Source organism: Homo sapiens, chromosome 11, assembly GCF_000001405.40.
Source record: "Homo sapiens chromosome 11, GRCh38.p14 Primary Assembly".
NCBI classification, from domain to species: Eukaryota; Metazoa; Chordata; class Mammalia; order Primates; family Hominidae; genus Homo; species Homo sapiens.
In genome coordinates, this window is record NC_000011.10 from 97,753,769 (window position 1) to 97,774,935 (window position 21,167).

The window sequence follows — 21,167 nt, forward strand, 5'->3', positions numbered from 1 at the left end:
CTTGGTCATACTTCTAACACTTGAATGAATATAATTTATTTTCAGCCTCATATTCATTCTTACACAGATAGCTATCTTTTCTATATTTTTTTCAGGAGAATTTCATTAAAAAGCTCTTTAGAAAATCCAAATGTTAATATGCACAGTCGTAACTGTTGGTCTTATTGCTACTGTCATATTTTTGCTATTATACTTTTTTCAGCTCTTTATAATCTGCCCATTTGTTTCTGCTAAATCATAAAATATATATGCCTTTTGTCTCAGACACATTGTACTTGGTACACTCTATTAATCTATATGGGGATTAGTTTCTTCGGTGTTACAATAAGTAATAAGCTTTGCTATCGTGCACTTTCTTATACTCTCTTTGCAATCATTTTTCAAAGTTTTTTTTTTCTCTTTGGCCTTGGCCATGACTGTCTAATGACAGCTCTAAAAACACCTGTGTTTTTTGTTTGTTTTTGTTTGTTTTTGATATGGAATCTCACTCTGTCACCCAGGCTGCAGTGCAATGGCATGATCTTGGCTTGCTGCCACCTCTGCCTCCTGGATTCAAGCAATACTCCCACCTCAGCCTCCCAAGTAGCTGGGACTACAGGTATGCACTACCATGCCAGGCTAATTTTTTTTTGTATTTTGGTAGAGATGGGGGTTTCACCATGTTGCTGAGGCTGGACTCAAACTCCTGGACTCAAGCAATCTGTGTACCGCCGCCTCCCAAAGTGCTGGGATTACAGGCGTGAGCTACTGCACCCAGCCATAAAAACACCTGATTTTTAAATAATTGTTAAGTTTAGCCAAGTGCCCACAGGACCAAAGACATCACTAGTGACTCTTACGATTTTACGTGCCACATTGTCTGTACTGAGCAACAGTGACATGGGTAAGTGACATATGCCTTCAAGACCAACGCTAACTTCACTCTACCATTATTACATCTTTTTACTTCACTTAAAAACTTGGGTCTAGATCATTTCTCTTTCTTCTCCCTTGTATTAGGGTTCTCTAGAGGGTCAGAACTAATAGGATATATGTGTATATGAAAGGGATTTTATTAGGGAAAATTGGCTCACAGATCACAAGGTGAAGTCCCATGATAGGCCATTGGCAAGCTGGGAAAGAAGTTAATAGTGGCTTAGTACAAGTCCAAAAGCCTCAAAAGTAAGGAAGCCAACAGTGCAGCCTTCAGTCTGTGGCCAAAGCCTTGACAGACCCCTGGCAAACGACTGGTTAAGTCCGAGAGTCCAGTGGCAAAGAACCTGGAGTCTGATGTCCAAGGACAGGAGGAACAGAAGGAAGCATCAGACATGGAATAAAGATGAAAGCCAGAAGACTCAGCAAGCCAGCTTATCCCACATTCTTCCCCCCTGCTTTGTACTAGTTGCACTGGCAGCCAATTGGATGCTGCTCACCCACAGAGAGGGTGCGTCTTGCTCTCTCAGTCCACTGACTCAGATGTCAGTCTCCTCTGGAAACACCCTCACAGACACACCCAGAAACAATACTTTACCAGCTATCTAGACATCCTTCAGTCCAATCAAGTTGACATCTAATATTAACCATCACATCCCTCAAGCATGGAAGATTTATTTAACAAGTCTTCTGAGAAAATAATATATTTTCAGTGAGGTTATTTCTGTTAGAAAAACTGTTCTGTTTGGAAACAATAGACAAGATTTCAGTCTTTTACTGTTTCTTTCTTAAATCTTCTTTGCCTACCTTATTAGGAGAAAGATATAAAGGTTCTCATTCATATTCAAAAATTAATATTTCAGCAGCAAAATCCCTTTCTTAATCATTTCCCAAATGTCAGCCAACTGAGTGGTAAAATAAAATATAGTTGTATGGATTAAGTTACAGGAAATAATAAATGTATATATATAAAATACATTTACAGAGATGAGCATGACGTCATGTTCCCTAAAATGGCAACTACTATTTACATGTAGATTACAGGAAACAAAAATCAAATACAAATATTTTCATGCGTAGGTTCACATGATTTTCTATAAATGCATTTTTGCACATTTCTGATGATTGTGGATAATATGAAAACATTTCAATTAATACCAACACGCATGTACTTTGTATTTATATATACCACTCCCAAGTTTAAGGAAAGGACATTGATGAGTTGTTATGGTGGCTTACAAGAATTTGTACTCATGTTCAAAAATTATGTCCTTACATTTATCAGGACTTCCACTGAAGTAAAAGCTAATTTATGATCCTAGCATTTCCATTTCACTTTAAACACCCCTGTGACTAGTTAGTTACATACAAGGCTTTAACTGTATTTTTCTCCTAGTTTTCTACTGTGTAAATGATTTTATAGTTTGACACTTTTAAATGCATGGCAACAGCACACCACAACGGTATAAATTACTGATACAGAAATCCTTAAATGTTTCGAAGAAATTGTTTTCTACTATGGAATAGCAAACTCATTTTACCTGTGACACTTCTCCTTTTCTTCCCTTATTATTCTATTCACATGGTTCTGAGGTATGATGTATAATACCATTAATTTTATCACTGATAAAACTTGGTTTAATCTTCTAATATTTTAAATTTGTCCAGGAAGTCCTATGTATACATGGCCCCTGTTTTCCATGAGGATTTTGATTAAGTTGACTTTGGAGTTATTTTGAATACTCCCTTCTGTTTACCACACATCTTACATTTGTTACCAAGCTCTATTTCACCTCCCTTAGAAATTCTCTTTGACTCTCTTTTTTCATGACTTTTGAGTCATCAAATGCACTGATTAATGACCTAGTCACTTTGTACCAACATATACAAAAAAATCAAACTTAGGCTTACTTCATTTTTTCCTCTATCATTAATCACATATTTTTATAATATGAATCTTTCCAAGCCTATTTTTAATAATAACCATTGCTTTTATAAATGAACCTAAAGTGGTTCCATATAGGTTACTCTACCACAAAGGTTTCTGTGTGAATTTCAAAGCCCTGAGTCATTTTGTTTCCATATTCCCTCTTTCCTCCTACTTTATAGGACCCACATCTATTCCAACAAAGCCTGTCATCTACATGAGCCTGTGGCAGGCATTGGCTAAGTACTCCCAATTCTGTTTCCTTTTCCTGGGTACACATGAAGTTATGTTCCAGGTTCCTTTGCAGTTACGCCCAGGTCATGTGACAGGCGTTAGCTAATTGGTGCAACTAAATATGATATTATGTTAATTCGAGTTTTGACCCCTATTATTTTCAGAGATATCATTGATGAATTCTCTTTCTTACTCATGTATCTGGAAGTTAAAACTTCTGAGATGGTGGTCCCTGACAGAGGAATCTAACTTTATCAGTAAACTAGTCAGAAGAAAGACATCCAAAAAATTTACCTGACATGTAAGGGATTATGACCAGAATTACAAAGTGATGAGAATTACATGTACCAACACGTGTTTGGTAAACACCATCTGAAAGAATGCATAGAACAATTATTGTGGCACAAACAGGACAATTTATTTTTCCCAGTAATCAAAGTGGAAATGTCTTGCAATACACAGGTCATCAGAGTATTCAGATGGTTATCTTCTCAGTAGTCAATCACAATTAGGATTAGACCAAATGTCGCCCTGGTCCCACCTAAAAACCTTTACCATTCATTTATCTTTGGGAGGTAAATAAGTACCTCCAAAAGATATAAATGTTTCAAAGTACCTTAACATACAAGGAAAAAAAGCTCCAAAATATTTAAAATAATATAAATATATCCAGCATCAAAAAGATACAATTTCTGGTGTTTGGCCTGCAAAATAAAAAATTACCACTCCTTCAAATAAGTAGGTAATACAACTTAAAAAGAGAGAAAGAAATCAAGTGAATCCAACCCGAAATAATACAGATGATACAATCAGTACAAAAGATATTAACATTTATTATAATTATGTTACAGAGCTTCAAGAAGATAGAGGGACACTAGAACATATTAAGTAGACATATGAAAGATATTTTTTGTATCTCGAATTCAGAGTTTGAGAAACTTTAAATAATATCTGATATAAAAATCAGGGGCTTGCATTTTTAAAAGTTAGATTAAATACAGAAAAACAAAGGATTAATGAACTTGAAAATACAGAAGCAGAAACTATTTTAAATGTAACACAGAAGAATAAAGAGACACAACAAAAACACAACAGTAATTAGCTCTGGGCCTAATACAAGTGTAACTGGAGTAACTGAAAGATGGTAAAGAGAAAGAAAAAGAAAGTGAAAAAATATTTAGGAAGTATTTCCTGAAAATATTTCAAATGTAATAAACTATAAACCTGCAAGTTCAAAAAGCTCAACAAGCCCCAAGCAAAAGTAACGTGAGAAAACCACAGTAGAATACATCATAATTAAATTGCTTAAAACCAATAATAAAGAGAAAATTAAGAGCAGCCAGAGGAAAAAAAAACAGCATGTTACCTACAAAGGAACAATAACAAGAATAGCAGCAGATGTCTTCTCAGAATCCATGCAGTTCAGGAAAGAGTGAAACCACATATTTAAAGTATTGGAAGAAGAAAAAATAATATGTAAGCCTAGAATTCTCTTTCCTGCAAAAATATATGTTTAAAAATGGAGGCAAAATAATTTTTCAGATACACAAAAGCAGAAATAATTTATCAGTGGTATCTGGTATATCTGCATTATAGTAAATGGTAAGCAATATCTTTTAAGCATAAGGAAAGTGATGGCAGATAGACAATTGGATATTCGCAAAGAGTAAAAAGCAGTCAAAATGGCAAATATGTGGGAAAATAACATAATTTAACTTTTTCATCTACCATTTTTCCATCTTTAAATTGTGAATAAATAATAATCAAAGTAGAAAAGACCTGTAATACACAGGTGATCAGAGTATACAGATGGCTTTAACCTCAGTAGTGAATAAAAATTAGAGTTAGACCAAATGTTGCTCTGGTCCTTCCTAAAATATTTTAAATAAATTTCTCAAAAAGATAAAAAAGCTTCAAAGTAACTCTGAAATGTCAATAACTGTGAACTTTGAATTGTGAGTAAATAATTCACAATTTAAAGCAAAAATCATAACACTATATTGAGGATCTATAACACTGCAAAAGTGAAATGTTTGACAATAGTACCAAACCTGAAGGAGGGGAAATGCAAGCATATGCTTGTAAATTTCTTAAACTATGTGTAAATTGATAGAGCATTAAGTGAAGGTGGACTGTGACCAGTTAAAAATGTACAATATAAAGCTTACAACCACAACTAAACTATTCTAAACCACTGGGATGTATCCTTTGTCCAATAGTTCATTGCATATATAATAATCCTGTTATAATATTGGAGGATGAAGCAAGAAAAAGTAGATTATTATTTTATTTCTTATGATTTTCCTACACTATGTGTTATGACACTCTCCTCATAAATTATTTCTCTATGAGAGAAATAAATTACATTCTGACAATATTTAGTTCAGATACAGTGTACATTTTATTTTAAAATTTTATTTTATTTTAAAATTTAACCATGACTTGAAGGTAGAGTCTTACTGCTTTAAATGCCTTTGCTAGCCAATTTTCTTCCTGTAATTAAATATGTGTCTCTTTCAGAAAAACATTAGGGTTACTGGTGCTTATAATAGTAATATTCTAGCATGTAGGAGAAAATAAGCCAATCAGTGCAAAGACCCCACTTGTGTTGTAATCACCGGGGAGTAGACTGAGCACCCAGGAGGTTCCATTTCAGATGAGCAAAAGGAGGGGGTAAGTGGTGGGATGAGAGCCCTGAAAATGGGCAGCCATTTGTTCTGGTGAACAGCTTGCTCTTTTCAGATAATCTTCTAGGACCCATTCAGGACTCTGATGATTTCCTCAAAAGGAATAACCCAAACAATAAAATTGGGCAACAATAAAATGGGGTCTATAAGGAAATATTAATCTCCTTATATGGATCATTAATATCACATATAATGTCAGTAGTACCTATTCAGAGAAAAAAATTCTTAAAGATAATAAGGCTTTAAAACGGGTGATAAAGAACTCAATGGTAAGGCTGTAGAAGAAGAGAGAGAGAATTTTTATCTTTTCTCTGGTATATGTTATACTTACATAAAAGGGTTTGTTTTATTTTAGGTGTCTTGTGTTCTTAAAACATTGCTTACATTTTAGAGTCATGAATAGTTAAAAAGAATTTAAATAGATGCTCTATAAATTCTTCAAGATTAGCTAAAACTATTGTACCACACAACACTTTTGAATTCACTGTTATTCTCTAACTTTTCTGAATTTGTTATTTTTCTTCTCTGCCTGTATCATATACTTGTTCTTCAGCAGAAGAAATCATGTGTTATATACTTACATTCAAATGCCTCTCTAGGTGTTTATAATTATATTTATATAAATGATAATGAAGAAAATACAACTCTTTGAAGTTAAAAAACATAGGAATGAAGGTGTATATGTCGCTTTGAAATATAGAATAAATATAAATTAAGCTTTAGAAAAGGAGTACAAAATTTACAACATTCCTAGAGAACAGAAGATCAACTGAATCTGATGAGGCATGAAGAAAATAAACAGCCAGTCTAGCTTCATTGTGACTACTTTAGAAAGGCTTCAATTTGGTGCTTAGAATTCAAAATCTGCATGAATAAGGACGGCATATGATTTTATGGTCTTGGGTTGGACAACCTAAAAGTGAAATATAACGTTGAGATGTGCTCAACGTCGAAATAAGAAAAAATGTATTATAATAATCTGAACAAATGTGTTTGAAAAGACCAATGAAGACAGGGACTTCAGGAGGATTGTGGAAATGGGATTGTTAAAGGTCTCTAGAAAAATTGTGTAAAGAAACGGTAATCTTGACTTGAAAGTGAAATAAGAGAGTCCAGCTTTCTGGTGTGGACTCCAGAAAGTTTGACCACATTTATGACACACATTACCCAGAGAAATTTACTTAAACTCTGTTTCTTGATTTCATTATCTGTAATAATAGATTTTAAAATAGAATTTATTTAATATTATTAGGTGGATTAAATGACTTATATGTAAATTAAAGTACTGTTTTGCACATGGCAAAGATTTAATAAATGCCAGTCACTGTTACTAACTAATAGTAGACGATCAAAGTTGGAAGTAAAGAGATTGATAGACTGTGATAACCATTTGGTAAACTACAATTAACTGAAATGGCTTCCCAGAGTGATGTGTTAGGATGTATGATGAATTTGTTTTAAGCCTGAGCAGGAAAGATTACAATTATGTAAAGTAATGCACAGAAAGATACGGTGGGGTTTGGGGAATAATAATGTGTGGACCACATTTACCAGTCTAGTTCTAGGCCAATGCTGACAATAACCTAGAATAAGAATTAAGAAGTATAATTGGGCATATATAAAATAAATGATAGAGAAAGAAGATCTAGATTTGGGCAAAATCATTGAAAAATATATAATGAAAAAGGTATTTTAGCTTTTTTTTAATTTTTAACTTGTAAAAATAACAATAGTGACTATCACATACACAAGTAGTTATAAATGGTGTCTCTGAGTCAACTTGTACTTTCTTATAAGAACTGATTATATTCTTCTGAAAACTACTGTATCTGATGATGTCATATTAATCTGTCATTGAAATACTTACACCACAGAAATCGTCAAACATTATAAATCAGGCTTTTTCCATCCCCCACTTTGGAGAGCTGGTTATTAAAGTTTGCCAGCACACCATTGTTTATGGAGCTGAATGATCTAAACGGGTGCAATGACACTGGTTATTAAACTTAAAGAAACATGCAGAAATTATGCTCCTGCATTTATAATATGATGTTTATTTATTTTAAAAACTTGAATATGATGCTTTATGTGTATAATGCTTATATGATGCTCTATGTGCCATGCAATGTTATATGTACTTCACAAATATGAGACTATAAAATAGATAATATAGGTAGAAGTGCCAAAGGTTAGTAATTGTTGCAGTTACTTACGGAACTTGAAATACCATTGCAGAAAAATGCAATAAAATATATTGTTGTTGTTTTATTCCTGCTCTTAAAAACCTTGGAAGTATCAGAATGAGCTGTCTAGGATGAAAGTTAAATTTCCCAGCCCTAGAGAGAATCATGCTTGCTCTTTCAATGCATTTCATGAGTCCTAGAAAAATTGCTACTATTATTTACAATTTTCGATTTTTTTTCCACTGGTAAGATATTGAGTTAGCTGGCAGAATTTCCTCCTTCTCTTAATCAGAAAGAACAGAATCCTTATGTGAACTATATGGTTTATAGACAGAGATGACATTAAAGGTGGAAAAACTGCCTTAGATTTGAGAGCTAAGGTGTTTATTCTGTAGATTAACCTGGTTAGTGCTCAAAATTCAGTCTCCCTGCTGAGTTTCACATGCTGATATCAGTATAAGACACAGTCTCCAAAGTTCACTTTTGTATGGCCTTAGCCATTTATATGCCTGATCCCACAAAAAAGGCTTTATAATTGTTTCAGATATGATTTTCTTTCCCAATATATGAGTCTTTTTCATTGATCATGTGCTTATGAGCAGGTTTTATCAACTTAATAGTGTACTGGGAAAGTTTTTGAATATAAAATACATTTTAACTATTTTCCAGGCCTTACAGTCAGTTCAGGGTTTACAGAGAAAGAGTATGGATTAAAGAAACAGTGAATGATTGTTTGAGAAAATAATGAAACATTGATTAATACGATATTTTATACCTAGAAAAGAGTCTGTGTTTTGAACTGCAACTTATTAATCAGCATTTATTAGGCACTTGCCATTAAGGGTATTAGGCATTTGCAGCAAAGATAAATAATAAGACTGGTCTCTGGCTTTGATAAATTATAAATATTGACACATATATTAAATTGAAATTAATGTTTCTAAAACATATTATTCTTAATACCACATATGGTATTGTATCCTGGTGAGGTTGGTCAACAATGACATAATTTCTGAAACAAATCAAAAATGTTCATAATCACTGCAAAGACTTTTTTCCTTCCCCTAGCACAAGGGAATTGTGCCTAGATGCTTCACCAAAGAAAATGGGTTTTCAACCCCAAGTCCAAATTTGTGATTACTTTCAGTGCTGCTGACTGTGCTCCTTCTGTCTTCCCATTCATCCAGATACTTAGGTCAAAACCCAGAAGTTACCCTGGATCACTCTCAGTATTCTATCAAGAAAGCTTGTTAGCTTTGTCTTCAAAATGAATCCTGAATTCAGCTAAGTCACCATTCCCTGCTCCTATATCTTAGTACACATCAACAGTGTTTCTTTACTGGGCTACCAGAAGAGCCACCTGCCTGATTGCCCCATTGTTTCTTTTGTGAAGCACCTTCTACAATGAAATCAATCAGCCTGCATTGGTCTTTCCATATGGTGAAGTTATTAATTACTTTCATGAATCACATAATTTAGCTCTCATTTAAGTTATCTTTTATTGGCCATCTTATTTTATAATATATGTTTATTAAAGCCAGGAATCATATACATAATTTTTTTTTTTTTTTTGAGAAGGAGTCTCGCTTTGTCACCCAGGCTGGAGTGCAGTGGCGCAATCTCAGCTCACTGCAAGCTCCAGGTCTTGGGTTCATGCCATTCTCCTGCCTCAGCCTCCCGAGTAGCTGGGACTACAGGCACCTGCCACCACGCCCGGATAATTTTTTGTATTTTTAGTAGAGATGGAGTTTCACCGCGTTACCCAGGATGGTCTCGATCTCCTGATCTCGTGATCCACCGACCTCAGCCTCCCAAAGTGCTGGGATTACAGGCGTGAGCCACCGCACCCGGCCTACAATCCCAGCACTTTGGGAGGCCGAGGTGGGTGAATCACGAGGTCAGGAGATTGAGACCATCCTGGCTAACACGGTGAAACCCCGTCTCTACTAAAAATACAAAAAAAAAAAAAAACAATTAGCTGGGTGTGGTGGCAGGTGCCTGTACTCCCAGCTACTCGAGAGGCTGAGGCAGGAGAGTGGCGTGAACTCAGGAGGCAGAGCTTGCAGTGAGCTGAGATCACGCCCCTGCACTCCAGCCTGGGTGACAGAGCAAGACTCTGTCTCAAAAAAAAAAAAAAAAATTGTATCTATAATATAATACCTGGAAGAATCATGTAAATATAGTAAAATGTAGTTGATAAATACTGTTTAAATTAATTGTTTCTGAAAAATAAGTTCTTCATCAGCTATGATCCATATAGTCAATATTTTCCAAATTATTTGCAAGATAATTTTTTGCAAAATAGAGTTGGTGAAGTATCTTAGAAACAAATTTAAATAAGCAGGGTTTAAGAAGGAAAATCCAACATGAAAACACACTTTCAAAATAAAAATAGGAAATAGTTTTGCAAAGATTCAAAATACGAGGAAATATTTGTTGAATTGTATTGGTGTTGTAAATCAAATTGTATTGCAACATGTGTTTAACATTGTATTATTAAATGGCACCTGCTAATCCTACTACCAGCAGAAAAAAATAATGTCGCATACTCTCATGTCATCAAAATGTAACAATACTCAGGATTTTTTATTGTTGATAAAAAATCAATGATACACATTGATAAAAACAATGATACACATTAAGTATTTTTACATTTTTCAACTTTTTTTTGCTGATGTGAGAGAAAATGTGTTTCTTATATACAAAGCATTAGCATGCTACTGGACAAAAGTAATTTGTCTCCAGTTTCTGTGAATTTTTGATGTAATAATCTGATTGTATATGGTTATGGGGGGAAAATAATAATTTTCTTAACAAATGATTGAAAAGAAAATTTTGACCTCTTAAACTAGACTTTCTTTGAAAATTCTTAAGACTTTAAAGAAGGGCCTTCATCTCAGCCAATAGCAGCGTTGTAGCCAACATTCAACAGTTTTTGCTTTTCTTATAGTTCACTATTCTCAGCACTTCCCTAAGGTAATGAGAAGAAAATGACTAAAATAATGAGTTAAGCCCCACTTTCCTGAAACCAGGCATTCATAGCTTCTGACTGCTCTGTAGGCTATATATGGCATTGTCTACAGAGTGTTCTGCATGTCAAAGCCAGCACAATACTTTCTCATGTCAGTTGCTATGGTGACTGCCTTTTTAAAGAGTGAATTGCAGATTAAATAGCTTCGTAAAACATAGATACATGGTTAGCACATAAACTACAGGTGTCCTGCAGCTATAGAAATTTAAACAACACTTTTTGAAACTTTTAAAAACTTCACTTCTCAAGGGAACATCTAATAATAAACCTATAGTTGCTTGCCCCCCTTGTCAGTTGAGGGCAACACATTTCCCTCAGGGGGGAGTCCTCCTTGCCAAGTTCCAAAGGAAATTACAGTCAGAAAGCAAAAAAGGTTGCACAAGAGGAGTTGTCACGTCCTTCTCAAACTTCGAGGTTCCCTACCTTCCACTTATCTCCCCAGGGCAACACCAGCACACTGACCCTCTGCATTTCCAGATGCCAGTTAGAAATGTAGAAGCAATTCTCTATTCCCCAAAATTGAACACCTGAACTGACGATATGCAAAAACTGTGTTATTTTGGGGAGTGCTTATGTGTTATTACAGTACTGCTTGAATCTTCATAAACATAATTTTAACTGTTAATTGATTTCAAATATTCCAGGATTGAGAATGATAGAATTCTTAGGAAATGGTAGCAATAATTTCTCATAATATCAATATAGCCAAACTTCCTAGAGATTCAAGAATATCTTACTTATATCAGTGTTTTGCATTAACGATGCAAACTTTTGTGACAACTTTCTTCCTGTTAATCTGTTCCTGAAATAGGAGAAAACCATATAGAGTTGCCCTCAATATCTGTGGGGGATTGGTTCCAGGACCCCACTCACTAAACGCTAAAGACACTAAAATTTGCAGATGCTCAAATACCTTACACAAAATAGAGTAGTATTTGTATATAACCTGCACACATTCCCCTGTATATTTTAAATCCTCTCTAGATTATTCAAAATACCCAATACAATGTAAATGTTATGTAAATAGTTGTTATAGTGGTTTTTTTGGTTTTTGTTTTGTTTTGTTTTTGTTTTTTGAGACAGGGTCTCTCTCTGTCACCCAGGCTTGAGTGCAGTAGAACAATCTTGGCTCACTACAACCTCCGCCTCTCAGGTTCAAATGACTCTTGTGCCTCAGCCTCCTGAGTAACTGGGATTACAGGTGTGAACCACCAAGCCTGGCTAAATTTTCTGTATTTTTAGTAAAGACGGGGGTTTCACTATGTTGGCCAGGCTGGCCTCGAACTCCTAGCCACAAGTCATCCAAATGCCTTGGCTTCTCCGAGTGTTTGGATTATAGGCATGAGCCTCCGTGCCCAGCCTGTTATAGTGTATCCTTAATATTTGCCTTATTTTTATTGTTGTGTTGTTTTATTGTTATTTTTATTTTTTATGAATATTTTTTATCCATGATTGGTTGAATCCAGGAATGTAGAACCCACGAATATGGAGGGTTGAGAGTATTAAGAATGGTTGTATTTAGGCCAGGCATGGTGGCTCATGCTTGTAATCCTAGCACTTTGGGAGGTCAAGGCAGGCATATCGTTTGAGGTCAGGAGTTCAAGGCCAGCCTGGGCAACACAGTGAAACTCTGCCTCTACAAAACAATACAAAAATTAGCCAGGTGTGGTGGTTCACGCCTGTGGTCCCAGCTACTTGGGAGGCTAAGCTGGGAGGTCAAGGCTGCAGTGAGCTGAGATCACACCACAGGACTCCAGCCTGGGGGACAGAGGGAGACATTGTCTCAAAAAAAAAAAAAGTTTGTATTTTTTAACCCTCTTTTATGGGTATATATTATTTTTTCAGTCCTTTTGCCTCTTCTTTTATGTCTTTCTCTATACACACAAACTCTCACATAGAATATATACCTTATCCATTTTTTTGACCTCATGGAACTCAACACAATGTTGCATTATGTATAAACCTAACTCTGTTGCAATTTTCATATGCACGTTTTCTTCTACAGAAAAATTACTCAGCTTTTTTTTCTAGTGGGTTGTCCTGGCTTTGTCAAGTTTCACTCTGCTCATAATGTCTAAGGTGGAAACACCTAGTGTGAAAATGCAGAGACTTTGGGCTTCTGAATGTCGGCACTTTTACCTGTATCGTTGCTCTTAAATGTTGCATCTAAAATCTTAAAACTTCAAATTAACAAAAATAATTTAAATTAAATACCTGCTAGTCACCTCATTTAAAAAATATAGCCAAAAACACCCTTGCATTTACTATCTAATGACAGCATCTACCATGCATATTTCATACCTCCTTGATTGCTTTAACAGTTTGCCTAAAACCTATGTTACAAGATTCTCATGAAGATTAAATGTGATTATATATGTGAGGAATATTCTGAAGCTTGTAAAGCATTTAAAATTGCTAGCCACATGCTGTTAAGTTGTACAGATACAACACTGGAGAGATCTGGTAGATGTGGAGATGCCTTGACCAGGTAATCTTGTAAAGAACTTGCTGGGTATCTAGAACAATTGCAGTCAGCAGACAATATTCAGTTGTCAGTTCCTTCAGGTTTGCCCTAGCTACAGAGAGGCTCCTTTTCCCAAAGTCATGCCATCAGGGAAAGCCCTCATCTGGTAAAGGAGAGAAGGGTGTAAAGGCCTGTCCATTTCAGCCCAGTGCAGGATACTTAGATGGGCAATACTCATGCCAGAGTTCCCGCCATGTTGGCTGAGGATTTACCAGTTCTGCATAAGAGTTTAACTTTGTTTTCTGCCTAGTCCTCTTCCTTCTCATCCTAGACAGGTATCGATTTTTAGTAAGCCTATTGCATCCATCTCAGCACCTGCTTTCAGGGGACTCAACCTGTAACAGGGGAACTGTCAGAGTCCCTAACACTCAGGGACCTAAAAAATAAGTAATCTGTCCTTAGTTAACTATCATTGCCACATTACCAGCACAACCAGTTTTAGTTGATTAAGTGAATCTTAAATTCTGATTCCCCAGAAATAGATAAACAAATTTGAAAACGATGATTATGATAGCTAAAACTTGTTAAAGGTACATAATGAACAAGCAAATACAATAATTATTTTATATAACTTAGTTTTTTTAAAGTTATTGATTATTGTAGGTTATTTGTATTTTCTTATAAATATTAGAATCAATTTGTCAATTTGTCACTGTTTTTAAAAAAGCCTGCTAGGATTTCTGTTTGGTACCACATTGAATCTATAGTTTGATTTGGGAAAACCAAAAACCTGATAATATTGATTCTTTGCCTCCATGAATTTGTTATATCTTTACATTTATTTACAGTTTCTAATTGTATGGGAGGTACACTTTTTCTCTAACCTCAGGATCAGTGGCTGGGCTTGCAAAATAAACTGATGAAAGACAGATTTACAGGAAAAAGGTACACAGGTTTATTTGATGTTAAAAGTTTTACATGGCATGAGAGGGAGGAGGGGAAGGAGGATTCTTAAAAAATCTTCCAAGGAAGCGACTGGGATTGGAGATATTTAGGCTATGCAGAGAAAGATTATGAACTTATAGAGAAGTGACTAGACAAAATAAAGGGGTTTCTGAACACTTTAGGGGGACTAAATTGTGGAAACTTAAAGACATGGGGGACACTAACGGTAGGAAAGGTAGATAAGGGTAGAGGTTCATATAGGCTCTCTCCTTCTCTGGTGGTAAGGTTGTTCTCCCCTTGCTACTCAAGAAAAAGTGGGCAGGGAGATTTTCACTAGGGGAATTTATGCCTTCTTCTCAGCTGGTTGCGGGAGGGCAGAGAGTCAGTGCTATCTACCTTTTCCCGATTGCCTTAGCTCAAAATAATCCTCATGACAGCGTGACATATTTTAGGGCACCACATTCTAAACTCCTTCATTGTTCTCTTAGCAATGTTTGCAATTGACAGGGAACAGGTCTTGCACATACTTTGGTAGAAATATAATTGTCTTTTTTTATTTCATTTTATATTGTTCATTGCTAATTTTACAAATACTTTTTTTATTCACCTGTGTTCTTCATCTTTCTAAAGAAATTTATGTGTTCTAATAGACTTTTTTCTCATTTTAGATTTTTTGTATTTTTCTGTGTAGATGGTAATGCCTCTCCAAATGAAAAGTTTTACTTTTTTCCTTGCTAATTTGCATGCCTTTTATTTCCTTTTCATCCCTTATTGAATGTGCTAGAATCTCCACGTTGCTGAATAAGTGAGGGTTCATTCCTGACCTTGTTCTTGCTAACAGAGAAAAAGAATTCAGATTTTTACCATTAAGAATAATAGTAGCTGTTAATATTTATAAAATCTCTGCATCAATGCAAAGTTTTTCCCCATTCTGGTTTCCTATGAATTTTTATAGTTACGCATTGTTAAAATTCTGTCAGATGTATTTTTGTCACCTATTAATATTATATTGTTCTTGTTTTCTTTATTTACATTTACCTTTTTATATATTTTTGATCATTTGATAATATTTAGTTAAGGACTTGGTTTCAATGTTTATAGAGGCTGATGGTTTATAGTATTATTTTTGTTGTGATATCTTCATCTTTTTTTTTGAAAGATATTGTTTGTGGTGGATTTATGTTGTTTATTTTCTATAAATGTCTGATAAAATGAACACCAATGGAGCCATCTGGGCTTGAAGATTTCATTGTAGAACGTTTTTTAAATTATGGACTCAATTTTTATAGTAACTAGAGGGTTAGTCAGATTTTCTAGTTCTTATGTCAGATTTCTTATTATCATAATAACTTAGGATTTTTTAAGATATTAGTCCAATTCACCTAAGTTGTTGATTTTTGAGGAACAAAATGTGGCTTATAATGTATTCTTGGTATTTTCTTTTCTGTAGGATTTGTAGCACCATACCCTCTTTTACTATTGATATTGACAATACGGGTCCTCCTTTTCATTCTTGATCACTCTAGCTAGAGGTTTATAAACTATAAGAATATTTGGTTGCCTTGAGTTTTGTCTATTTTATCTTAGTTTTCTATTAATTCAACATCTGTAAAATTGACTTCAGTTATTATTTTTATTACTGTAATTCCCTTTCTTGTACTTACTCTAGGTTTAGTTTGCTGTCTCTCTCCCTCTTTTTTTTTTTTTCCTAAGAAAGAGTTTTGCTCTGTCACCCAGGCTGGAGTGCAGTGATGTGATAATAACTCACTGCAGCCTCAAACTCCTGGACTCAAGCAATCCTCCCACCTCTGCCTCCCTAAGTGCTGGGATTACAGGAGTGAGCCACTGTGCTCAGCCCTTGCTCTTCTTTTTCTAGTTAACTAAGGTATGGTATTTGATTATTGATTTATACTTGCTTCTTTTCTAGTATAATCATTCATAACCACAACTTACCCTCTAAACTCTGCTCTGGATGCATCCCACTAATGTTCATATTACATGATTTTATATCGTGACCAAGTTTTTATTGTTGCAGTTACAAAAATAGAAAACAGGTGTTACTTTTCACTGAAGTATCTGTATTTCTATTTTAATGGGGTCGTTTTTCTCTTTTCTTAAGTATTCTTAAGAATTCATTCAAAATTAGTTCTTTGTATATGGATTGCAAATAATTGTACACTGCCTTTAATCTATGATAAATTTTTGATAAAGAAGTTTCAATTTTTATGTAGTCTGATTTATTTAACGTTTCATTTAAGCTACTGGCTTTCAGGGCATGTGCATTTTAAAAATATTCCCCAACTGATTCTGAAATGCACCCTGAAAAAGAGACATGGCACTTTTATGAATTTGTCACATCCTCTAATGAGTTACACATCCTTCCTTTTTTGGGGGCTGCTCCATTGCTTGATTGGCACTTGTTTTAGTCCATCTGTGTTCCTATAAGGGAATACCTAAGGCTGGGTACTTTATAAAGAAAAGAGGTTCATTTGGCTCATGGTTCTTTAGGCTATACCAGAAGCATGGTGCCAGCTTCTGCTCTTGGTGAGAATCTCAGGCTGCTTCTACTCATGGCAGAAGGCTAAGGGGAGCTGGCTTGGACATACCACATAGTGAAAGAGAAAAGCCAGAGGGAAGTAGAGAGGTGCCAGACTCCTTTTAACAATCAGCTCTCTCTGATACTAAAAGAATGAGAACTAACTCATTCCTGACAGGACAGTACCAAGTTATTCGTGAGGGATCTGCCAACATGACATAAACTCCTATTAGGTCCTACCTCTAACATCTGGAATCAAATTTCAACTGGAGACTTGAGGTGGTCAAACCAATTATATTCAAACCACAGCAGCACTAAATCTGTAAATAAATAGTTTACTGAAGATAGTATTCTGATATTTGGAAAATTTGTGACATTATTTTTTGACTCTATGTTTATATATAAATTAAACATGCAGTTCATATATCATGGTGAATTTTTATATATATATATATATATACACTTATATATAATATTTTAAAAATCTTATCTATTACCATTATTCATTCCATTAGTAGATAAATTTTCTGGAGGAAATTATCTGTCTACATTGTGTATTACCTCTAATCATCTATATCAGTAGCATGATATTTCAATAATGGTGAAAGAGTCTTGGAACTAATTTGCAAGTCAAAGGAAAAATGTGCCCCTGCTCTTTTGCTTATTCATTACATTTAAGAGTTATTTAACAGCAGCCTTTATTCACACACATTATTGAACTCAGTCCATCTGACTTGTGCTCCACTAAATTGGCATTTTCAGAATCATAGGCTTCAGTTGTAACAGGAAATTTCTGAATTACAATGTGGTATTTTGCAAAATATGTATGGAGTTTTATGCCTCATTCTTCAGTAAAAAATCCTAGGTGATCTGAGTCTTAATAAGATAACAATCATTAAGTACGTAGTTTTAGTCTCAGATTTTGGCACTTCCGTATGACTGTTACTCTGGGAAGACATGGTTCTCCAAACGAAAAGAAATGCTATTTTGTTTGAGCTATCATAGCTCCCAAACCTCTTCTTGATCATTTGAATCACCAGTTTAAAACACCAGGTGGAAGATTTCCTGGTGGGTTTTACTGAAGCCAGGAAGCAAACAACAACAAAGAAATTGTTGCTGCAAAAGTTGCTATATTTTAATAACACTCAAAAAGAAATACATTAGAAACTTTTAACTAAAAACAAATAGAAACCTACATTTTTGCACAGACTTTCAACTATTGACATAATAATGTAGGTACGGATTGGGGTCAATACATTGGATCTAGCCAACATTAATTTCTTTTGTGTACCAACTTTGCTTATAAACTTTCTAAGTATTATTATGATGTAGAATATGTCCACAAATCACAATTCACTCATTTTTCAGCAACAAGGTACACTAAAGCCCTTTCAACAACCAATGAACTGTGATGTTATATGCTTTCTGAAAAAAGAAGTTACTATGTACATTTTCATATGCTAAAGTAAAATTACCTTTTTCTTAAGGCAAGAACACCTATATCCCATGAAAAGAGTATAAGCGTTCAAGTATAAGTTATGAAATCTGAAATGTAGTGGTGATTATTTTCAGTTCATCACTTTGCATATTCTTCTATAGTAACACACTAAGTTGTCTAATTTCTGTAATTAATCTTTCCTAAAACACTTTTTTATGAATTCAGATGTAGCCATCCTATAAAAAATGCTAACAAGCTACAAGCATTTTGAGATCCCCAGATAAAAGTAGCTAGCCATACATCTGTACACCAAATCTACTTTAATTGTTAAAAATAGCTTTATAAAACCTGAGAAAATGATTTACTTATTGGTCAGTTTTAATATAGATTTGATATATACTCATATTTCTGATGTTAAATAGCTGTGAAAATGAGGCACTGATCCTATGGTGTCTCAAATAGAATACCTATGTCTGCATCTTTCTTTGACGAAGAAATCACTTGTGAGATGTTAACGTTGTATATATAACTGTAAATATTAAAAAGAGGCATATTTACAATTCCCTTTTTTTCACTCATTCCTATTCCCAGGATAAGCCATCAAAGCAAAAAGTTGGCAGTTCAATGTTATTTTGTCTTCTATTTTTGTATGCCCTGTTTAAAACAAATGTCCTTAATTGACTTGTGATAGTAGCAAATCAATTGTAGAACGTCAGGAATGTCTGCGAACAGATGGCGGTGTGGATCTCATTCCTCCTAGGACTCACTCAGAGTTACAGCTGTCCAGGGTTATGTGTAATGTTTGCAGCCCTGTTTTCTGTTAGCTGGCTATTTCGATGATGAATATGTGTGCAGATAACCCTTCTCCTTTGAGAATTCTGCCCCTCTGCATGGCTTCTATTTTGAATGCATAGCACTCTATGCATTCATGGAATACCAATAGGTTTTATTTAAAAGGTGACCGCATTAAAAAAAAATCAAAATGTCTCAATTAATGATTGCACTTTTTTTGTGTATCTAACTTGAATCTGGTATAGAATTGGAGGCAGTAAAATAGTATACAATAATTAAGAAATGCCCTAATATACTCCAAGTTGATTTTACTCTTTTGCTTTTCAAAATAATGTGTACAACTTTTAGTAGCCCTTGCTTGAAGAGTAAAAAAATAATTTTACACAAATATAAAAGTATAGTGAATAAATATCTTGGTGGCAATACTTTTGAAAAACTATTTATGTTTTTGTTGAGATTGTAATTATATAAACATATTGAGATATTTTCCTCCTCCATAAATATAGATTTATAGAATAAAAATCTTGAGTAAATTTAAACATGTTATTAATATAAAACACTGATAGAACACTTAAAATTGAATTATGTATAATTATAAAAATTTTATTATTTTCTGTATATAATATGCCTGAATAGTCCTGTTGTATTTGAACACATGTATGTGTACAAAACTTATGTTGTAAGTATATAACATGAATTTATATGAAGTCACAGCATAGATAAAGAAAATTCCCTGGGCCTTTTCTCCCAGCTTTGAATACTGTTCACTAGAACTTCATACACAGATATCTCTGATGAATTATTTTCTTTTAAGAAATCCTAATTTGAATGTCTGATCTATACTGAATGCTTTCCTCAATTGTCTAATTAACATTTTTATTGTATTGAAATTTCATAAAATCAGCCACATTCTATTTCTTAACTTGGTTTCTTCTCTTAGAATTCAAAGAAAGGTATCAATGAAAGAAAATACCTATCTCTTTTTTTTGCCATTTTTGCTAAACAGATCTCTCCTTAAAGCAATATATTCTCTTTCCTTTTTCTTTTTGAAGCTACCTTTTTTTTGAAGTGGAAATTTACATAATTAGCATGCACAAAGATCTCAGGCTTTCAACTTGACAAAGTGGGAATTTTCTTTATTCCTAATTATTGATTTAGACACTTAGGAGATGAAAGCAATTCAAGTCATGACTTTCACAGACATAGAAATATGAATTTGATTGGTTGGTAAATTGCCAATGCTTAATAAGTAAACTTAGAGTCCCTGCCATAACACATACCTAAGTGGCAACAAGCAACCTGCCACACTGACAGTTTTCTTAAAAATATGAATATTTTGACAAATACTTGAATATCATTATTTGTGAGAAAAATTGTGGAAGGGACACATCAACTAGGGTCTCCCTAGAATACTTTGTATATTTCTAGAGGCAAACAGAATATTCAATATGTAATATCTCCTACCTAGAAATCCACATATATGGTTGAGAAGAAATGTGAATTGGATTAAATTCATGAACTGGTATTGGGCATGGACACTCCACTCAGTGGACAGAACTCAAACTCTCCGAGCTTGAGTTGCAGATTAAGGACACATCTTTGGGAATACAAACTGTAAAATAAAATTGTGGTTGCTGCTCAAGCTGCCTGGATGGGTGGCTCACATAGATGCCCATGGTAATGGTCAGTTCACTGATGAAGCAGATGGGCATCCAGCTCCTGACAGTGCCTGTGCTGTCCCTGCTGCTCCAATTACCACATAAACTCGTCACCACACTGGACATGGCAGCACACTCACCCTCCTACACTGGGCACACACACACAAACGCTAATGCAGAGGCTATAATTGCATGCCAAATTTGTGATTCCTGCCAAAAGCTGCAAGATGGAGGGGCTGACATGGCCCTCTGCCCACTCTTGGCAGATTTATTACACCTGGTTATTGACAAGTATTGGTGTTCTCTGTGGTATTTTCAGTGTTAATTCTTTTTTTTTTTTTTTTTTTTTTTTTTTTTTTT

At 34.5% G+C, this 21,167-nt stretch overlaps 1 annotated feature.

Annotated features, from left to right (window-relative positions):
* Positions 10,750–11,251: an enhancer, noted in NCBI's record as "NANOG hESC enhancer chr11:97635518-97636019 (GRCh37/hg19 assembly coordinates)". NCBI's record gives its function as "activates a minimal SCP1, AML or CMV promoter by ChIP-STARR-seq in naive H9 embryonic stem cells {active_cell/tissue: H9 hESC(naive)}" and the evidence as "EXISTENCE:reporter gene assay evidence [ECO:0000049][PMID:30033119]".